Below are 8,546 nucleotides of genomic sequence, written 5' to 3' on the forward strand. Positions count from 1 at the left end.
CCCACAGGCGGCTGTGGGGTGGTGGAGGAAACTTTGGTCTTGGGATCAGTGGATGGGGGTAGAGTGCTGGCTCAGCCACTCACCATCCACTAGATCTTAATCAAGACATTTAACTTCCATGACCTCAGCTTTCTCGTCCCGACAGTAGTGTGGGAGGTCAGATGGACTGTGACCATAAGCATGTGTGACGGAAGTTAGTCATTACAGTCTTATCTTGTTTTTTGTTCAAAGTGTTGAAATTTGGTCATCACAAGTCTTGTGAGCCAGGGTGGATACTATCATCTCCATTTCCAGGTTGGGAAACTGAGGCTCAGAAAGGGGAAGTGAATTTTCTAAAGTCCCACAGCAATGGCAGAGCTAGGATTATAAAGCCACTTTTTGTCTCCTCTGCACCATGACAACACTCCTGAAAACCTGCATTTTCACAACCACCATGCATGGAGATTTTGAATTCTCCATTCTTGTCTTGCAGACACAGGTGAGGCCAGGCTGGTTTCTGCAGTGCTGAGTGGATGGAGTATTCCCTGACATCTGTGCTGCTGGGACAACCCGGCAGGGCCTCCTTGGGAGCAGCTCTCCAGCCTGGTCCATGAGAAAGAGCTCCTCCCCCAATCAGAGATGACCATGGCCCAGGAAGGCAAGGCAGGGCCATGTGGCTGTTGACCACAATCACCGGCAGGCCCCTGATTCCAGTAGCTGTCCCGGATGCTGCAACCCAGGCCTGTAATTTCTAGGCTGGGTCTGGACCAAGAGCAACCCCACTGCTGAATCAGTCACTCAATCAGTCCTATCTTATTATTTCTTGGCTCCCTGGCGGCACAGCTTTGCCTCCGGGAAGTAGTGCTCAGGAGTCTGCCTTCTGCTTGGCATGCCTGGGGTCTCCTCACTGTCTCCTGTCCTGCTCCCCAGAGCTCTCTTGCCTGGAGGAATCCATGACTCTCACTCCCTACCCTTCCCCCAGCCTCCCTCTGGCCTCTCTCATCAATTGCAAACCTTTCTGGTTCCATCCCACTGGCTGAATCATGCATTTCTTCTCCCCAGAGGGCCCCGGCTGGGGTTTCTGCCAGACAATCTGACAATCTATGCAGATAACTGCAGGGCACTTTCCCACACAAAAAAATGGGAAAATGGCGCAGAAATTAGAGAACTTGCCTCTCTTCTTCACCCTCCTCCAGTGCCCCACCGTTTCACAAAATGCCTGAGCTAAGCCAAAGAGGAGACCGTCTTAGGAGGACGACACAGGGACTTTGTACCACCTTCAGGTGCCTACTTCTTTCTTAGGTGGGCCAATAAGCTGACCATCCCTTCCTGGGCCCCAGTGCCCTGCAGAAGAGGTGGAGGACTCGGGCTGGTGAGGGAAGACCTGGTGTCCTAAAAGACCTTGGCATCTGCCACCATCGTCTCGATGGTGATGGCACTGGAGCATATAATCACTGCCCAGCAGGACTCACTGCATCCCCACTAGTCCCCCTTTATCTCTATCCCACACTGAAGCCAGAGTTTGCTTCCTGAAATGTAAATCTGTTTTGACTTGTCTCTGGTCTCCCTGTTAAAACCCATCAATGGTTCCCTACTGCTCTCGAGGAATTGTCTGTCATGATTCCAAGGCCCTGCCTTGCCTGCTCACTTAACCCCAGCTTCTTGTGGGCCATTTGCCACCCCCATGACTGCTCAGACCCCACCAGTCTTCAGCCAGTTCTCCAGGGCCACACTCCCTCCCATTGCAAGGCCCTTGTTCATGTTATTCTCTCTGCCCAGAGCACTCTTCCCCATCTGCTACCTGAACAACACCTGCTCAAACTCAGAACTTGGTCTCTGGGTCTCCAAGCCCAGTTCAGTCCCAGGCCTTCAGGCTCTGTCCCCCTCATAGCACCAAAAAACTCCTTATCACAGCAGAGTCATGGTGCAATTGCATGTTTGTCTGTGTGGTTATCTGATTGTCTGTCTCCTCCATAAGAGCAGGGAGCTTGTCTGCTTTTTCCCATTCCTATATACCCAGTACCTAGTACCCTGTGTGGCCTGGAACAAGTGTTCAATTAAGATATGTAGTGTGGGAGAAGGAAATGCTGAATCTGCCTGGTGCCAAACTCCTGCGGTCCAAGAGCTCCCAACAGAGGTCACATGATGTACCCAGAGGAAGACACAGCAGAGTTGAGAGCTGTGGTTGGTTCAGTCCCGTTGCAAGTATGCAAAAGACATGTGTGTGCATCCTCAGGAAGTGTGTGTGCTTATGTGTGTTCACATCCAGTGTATGTATGTGTAGGCATCATCCATGGCCTAAACTCCTGGCAGGCCCAAATCTCTCTACTACATACCTGACAGAGGCTCACCAGCCTTTCACTGGACATTTTCCAGCGACCAGGGAAGCTTCTTCATAGGTAGTATTTTAAAATATAGGCCCTGAGGTCAAATGGGCCTGGGCTGAAATCCCAGCTTCAGCACTGAGCATACTGTTTAAATATTTGGGGCCCCAGCCAGGCACGATGGCTCACACCTGTAATCCCAGCACTTTAGGAGACTGAGGTGGGAGGATCACTTGAGCCAACGAGACTGAGACCAGCCTGGGTAACATAACCTGGGTAACACACGGGTGTGTGTGTGTGTGTGTGTGTGTGTGTGTGTGTGTGTGTGTGTATTTATTTATATTTGAAGCTTCAGCTTTCATTCTTGAAAAAGGGGGATGATGATTTCTACCTTAGAGGATGATAGTGAAAACTAAATGTAATACTGCATTTAATGTACTTAGCACCATGTGTGGCATGCAATAAGAGCTCAATTGCTAGTGGCTATTAGCATTGCTAAAACTAATATTTGGCTCTTCTTCTAGGAGCAGTCTTTGGTTTTTTTCTCGGGTCCAACTTAATCAGCAATCAAGACTACCGTGTCCCTCAAAAGCCCAAAACATTTGTGAAAACCCTAAAGCTTAATGAAGATTTTGAGGTGAGATGAAAGCCAGGTAGTAATGTCATATACAACATAACAGTAGAGGTCCCCAGACATCTTTCTTATCCTGTTTGCTCTCCCCAAGTTTCTCCTACCTTGATACCTCAGTGATACACTTCCCCCACCCTTCCCCCATACAGCTCTTTACTACTCTGTCTGGCAGTTCAGCTCCAGCCCAAACTTGCATTCACCACTAAGGAAAAATGCCACAATTTTCCAGATCTCCCTTCCAGCAGTTATTTAACAATGGTAATCACATTTTGTTATGGAAGATTTCTTTTTGGGCATTTATTCCATTCTTAAGCCCAACTGCTGGTCATTGTTCCCCTTTCTAGCCCTGTGAATGCTATCTCAAAGAAGAAATGATGGTAAATATAATATTCTCCAACCTTCAAGTAAATCCTTTAACCCAATATATTGCAAGGTGAGTCTGTGATAAAATTCTTTCTTATGCGGAGCTGAAATCTGTTTCCCTGTAACTCATACCCCATGCGTAAATGCCCATGAAGTCCATATTCTCCTTCACAAAACAAATCCTTAAAAACTCACATCCATTTCCTTTAGAAAACTTTCTTCAGTTTATTCTGGGATTCATTCTTGGCTGTGTGTCTGCCTGTCCTTTCAGCTTTCATAATGTCCTTTTTTCAGCTGTGGCTCCTGAGAAAACCTGATGCTTGGTTTATCAACCAACTCCCCTTAGCCTCCTTCATGACAGGTCGTATCTTTGCTGAATTTTCATTTGCTCTTATAAACTCTAAGATATAGTATTTCAAATTGAGATGGGAGATTGCCAGTCGCTTCTAAATTGGATAGAGAGATTATTAAAATGCAGATTCTGGGCTTCATCCCAGATCTAGGAAAGCCAAGCCTCTGGGTACAGAGCACAGGAGTAAACAAACTCTCCAGGAATTATGATGCCCAGTCAAAACTGCAAACCAGAACTCTAAGGAAACCACAGATGTACCTGGTAAAATGGGGACTCCTTGCTCCTTGCACATTCTATTGCTCTTTCTCCCCAAGTGGATTTGGCTAAAGAAGGATGAAATTATTGATGGAGTTGGTCGTGAGAGGTGGTTTTTTTTGTTTGTTTGTTTTGTTTTTTTGGCTTTGGTGAGAAGTTGTTTAACAAGTAACAGAATGTTCCTTTCCTGGGGCTTTAGTAACGTTATTTCTGGAGCTACTGGGATTTCCAAAAATGCTCCAGAAGCTGATAAATTGAGCTAATTCCAAACCCGCTGGCCAGTTGCTCAACCATACTATGCATTTTTTGGTGTTCAATAATATTTACTGAGCACCTACTTTATGCCAGGAACTTGGGATACTTCAGTGAGCAAAACAGACATACATCCTGCCCTCATGGAGCTTCCTTGCTAGTAGAAAAGGAATAATCTCACAAGGGCAAAGAGGAAGAAAAGAGACAGCAGCAGACGAGTGATGTTCATTATTTTGGTGCAATAAGATGCAGTGAGGCCGGGCGCAGTGGCTCACACCTGTAACCCCAGCACTTTGGGAGGCTGAGGCTGGTGGATCACCTGACGTCAGGAGCTCGAGACCAGCCTGGCAAACATGGGGGAAACCCCATCTCTAGTAGAAATCGAAAAAAAAATTAGCCAGGCATGGCTATAATCCCAGCTACGCGGGAGGCTGAGGCAGGAGAATCGCTTGAAACCGGGAGGCAGAGGTTGCAGTGAGCCAAGATTGAGCCATGGTACTCCAGCCTGGGCGACAAGAGCAAGATTCCATCTAAAAAAAAAGAAAGATGCCGCCAGGCATGGTGGCTCACACCTGTAATCCCAGCACTTTGGGAGGCCAAGGCAGACAGATCACGAGGTTAGGAGTTCGAAACCACCCTGACCAACATGGTGAAACCCCGTCTCTAATAAAAATACAAAAATTAGCCGGGGGTGGTGGCGTGCGCCTGTAATCCCAGCTACTCAGGAGGCTGAGGCAGGAGAATTGCTTGAACCCGGGAGGCAGAGGTTGCAGTGAGCTGAGATTGTGCCACTGCACTCCAGCCTGGGAGACAGAGTGAGACACCATCTCAAAAAAATGAAACAAAACAAAAAAAACATACAATGAGATGCAGGGGTAAGGAATAACAGAGAGGGATGACCCATGAGGAGGTCATAAAGGAGAAATTCTAGGGTGGAGGAGGGATGGGGGGAGTGGAAGACTCTAAAGGTGATTAGGGACTATGCTGAGGAGAAGCTGCATCTTATGTGAGACTAGAGGAGGCCACCCCTGCAGTAGACTGGTGGCCTACACAGGCTGGTAGTAGCTGCAGCTTGGGTATGGGAATAAAGAGAGAGAAGTGAATGCCAAGGTGAGGACGGGGCACCTGTCCTCATTTAGGAAAGTGAGCTAAAAAGCTAGATTTCCAGGGAGACAGGATTTCTGTGTGGGTCCAGGTAACCTAGACAGCGCTGGGGAACCTCCAGGCAGATAATTTATAGGTCTGGGTATTCCTTATGGCATTCCAGGTCTACTGAACATGGTGCGTGGGTCCTTCTCTGGGCAACTGTGGTATAACAGAGTGGAGAACCTGGCTCCAGAGCTCACAGGAGGTACCAAGTGAAGCCTGGGTTCTGAACACCTTACGGGGAAAGAAGTGTCACACACATACTCACACAGGAGGACACACACACTCAGGTATATTCACACCCATAGTCACATACACACTCAAGTGCACAAGGTCACCCTCTTTCCTTGGTTGTGCTGAGATTCCTAAGGGTGGGTTGGAGGGAAGGCAGGGGACAAACACTGCTGGCAGGCTGGTTTGGGACATCTGAAGTATAGAAATGAAAGGAGGAAAGAATATTTGCAGCTTTCTGATATGTGAGCAGAGCTATGACAATCTCATTCCAGTCCAGCTCTCTACTTCTCCTAGTCTGCAATTGAACCTTTCACAGTGAATTAGTAATAATAGAATCAACAAAGGAAAGAGCTCTTCAAGTAGCACTGAATTGGCATTTAGTCCTCCTGAAAAGTGGAAAACACATTTTTGAGGCCAGATTTTTCATAGCCAGGAAGTCGTTTTAACCAAAGCAACAAGTCTAGTGACGTGTCATTTTTGACAATAAAATTTTGTATTTATTCTATTTCTGCAGTGTAATCTTTTCATCTTTGGATAAATATTTATCTTGTACTGGCTCTGTACCAGACCCTGTTCTGGATGCTAAGGATACGGTGGGGGTAAGGATGAGCCCAGCCCTCCTGGAGCTTACCCTTAGTGCAAGGTCAGGCGTGAGAGCAGAGAGGCTTTGCGTGCCCAGTAGGGCTGGGACCTTGTACTGAGCCCCTGTGGACTTTCTAGTTGTGCGGCCTCCCAGGTGATACTCCAGGAGACGCTACTGCGCCTGGCATCTGTCATCATTTGCAGAGAACGAGCCTGTAGCTGTGTGGGACTCAGGGAGGCCTCAGGACAGTGAGTAGTACAGCAGAGATCTGAATCCAGCACTGTCTGCTCGCAACCACCAGGCCATGCTCTTTCTTTCGCCCACCACCTCTCCCCCAGGAAAGAGCCAGCAGATCAGGATCTCCCTGCTACTCACACTGTGAAGACGGAAGCGAGAGAGAGCCACTTTGCGTGTGGCTGGCTTCAGAAGTCAGAACAGGCTGGGGAGGTTCCTAAGGTGAGTGCTAAAGTCCCAGTTCAACTTCCTTCATTATCATATGGCCTCCAAGTCTCCCTGTCCTGGGTTTTTCTGGTCAGCCAGCTCCATTCAACAAATGCGCTGATGTCAGCTGTGTGCTGGGCCCCAGGAATCCGGGAGTAAATGAACCAACATGTCCAGTGTGCATATGGAACAGAACACTGAGGGTTTGATAGAGTAAAAGCAGAAGCCAGAGGAGGCCTAAGGTCGGGGGACACTTAACTCTGACAGGCAAGTGTGCCCAGACTTAAACTAATGCCTTCTTCTCTTAAGGAAGCTCCCACAGGGAAGGGATTAGCCCCATCATGTCCATTGTACCTCAGTTCCCAGCACAGAAACTCGCATGTAGTAGATGCTCACCAATATTTGGGTAAATGACTCAAAAAAGCAAGGCTGGGATCACTGAACCTGCCTTCCCTCATGCTCTCAGTGACATGACCTGTAGTTCGTTTGCCCTACTTCGGGTGCCCCAGAGAGACACAGCAACCACCACCAATGCCATCACTTAGGGTCTTGTTATTAGTGACCTCAGAGGAGCAGGACCAGGCTACTCACAAGCCTGGTTCCAGAGGTGATTGGCAGCAAAGCTAATGAGGTTTCAGTTTCAGAGCCCCCCGTCTTGGGTGGGTTCTGCAAGGCTGAGGCATCCTCTGCTGAGCATGCAGGAGGAAGCAGCGGTTCAGCCATGCAGTGCGTCTGTAGCCTCTGCCCTGGTAATGCCAGCACCACCCCATATCCACAGGGCACCCTGATACCCCCCCAAGGGATGTCACTGAATGTGTGGGTCCTGCTTTTAAAGCCACAGGAAGGACTCTGAAGGAGATACTGTTATGACCCAGGCTTCACGACGTTAAATCAAGTTTAGCCTAAAGCTGTCTCCTTACATATTTTAAGTTCAACCTAAAGTTTTTTTCTGTACATCATGAACTATAACAAGTGGAGGTGTAACCAGACCGTTGCCTGTGCCAGTCACAGCATTTAGGCCAATTAAATGTAGCCAACGTTTTGAATCATGTTCAAATAAGGCAAACACCTGAGCTGTAACCAATTCAGCTATTTCTTTATCTCATTTCTGATTTCTGTATGTCACTTTCCTTTTTCTCCCCATAAATCTTCTTCCACCAGATGACTGCACTGGAGCTTCTGAGCCTACTCTGGCTTAGGAGGCTGGCTGATTCATGACTCATTAATTGCGCAGTTAGACTCCTTTAAATTTAATTTGGCTGAAGTTTTTCTTTTATCAACGGTCACCTGGCTCCAAGGGCTACCAGTCCAGCAGGTGCAGATGACAGTGGCCCTAGGCATAAAGCATCGGCTGAGCAAGAGACTGCTGAGGACATTTCAGGTGTGACATTATTAGTAACAGGTCGTGGAGCTGCTTCCTCCAAACTACCATCATGAAACACAGTTTAAAAACCCATGCCTGAGGGAAGGCCGAATTATCTTTTTCTTTTCTTTGGAAGAGTAATTTTATAAAATCATTATTACATGAAGAGGTGATCACAGAGTATGGGTCAGAAATGTTAAAATATAGGAAAAAAATGTGTCAGTATCATAGAGGTGTGTAAGACTGTCTATTGCTACTAATAATAAAAACTGTTATTCTTCTGGATTTTGTGATGATTATGTTGTCATATTTTAGAAATGTGTAATTTCTCATTCTTAATAATGATCACTTTGATATCTGATTTTGTATTTACAAAAAATACAAAAATTAGCCAGGCGTGGTGGCACATTCCTGTAGTCCCAGCTACTCGGGAGACTGAGGTGGGAGGATCACTTGAGCCTGGCAGGTTGAGGCTGCAGTGAGCCATGATCAGGCCGCTGCACTCAGGCTGGGTGAGAAAGTGAGATCCTGTGGCAAAAAATAAAAAAAAAAGAAACAATTTGCCAGTCCACAGTCTTGTAAATTTGAACAAATTTGTAATTTGTATATTTTTTTCTTAGAAG

General features: G+C 47.2%; 1 long non-coding RNA gene across 1 annotated transcript; it reads left to right on the top strand.

Moving 5' to 3' along the window:
- The first annotated feature begins 6,516 nt into the window (after positions 1-6,516).
- On the top strand, positions 6,517-8,208 carry LOC124903513 (uncharacterized). The gene is made up of 2 exons (XR_007064689.1): positions 6,517-6,575; positions 7,722-8,208. It is a non-coding gene; the product is annotated as an uncharacterized LOC124903513 (long non-coding RNA).
- Positions 8,209-8,546: the final 338 nt, after the last annotated feature.

Source organism: Homo sapiens, chromosome 15, assembly GCF_000001405.40.
Source record: "Homo sapiens chromosome 15, GRCh38.p14 Primary Assembly".
Classification (NCBI taxonomy): domain Eukaryota; kingdom Metazoa; phylum Chordata; class Mammalia; order Primates; family Hominidae; genus Homo; species Homo sapiens.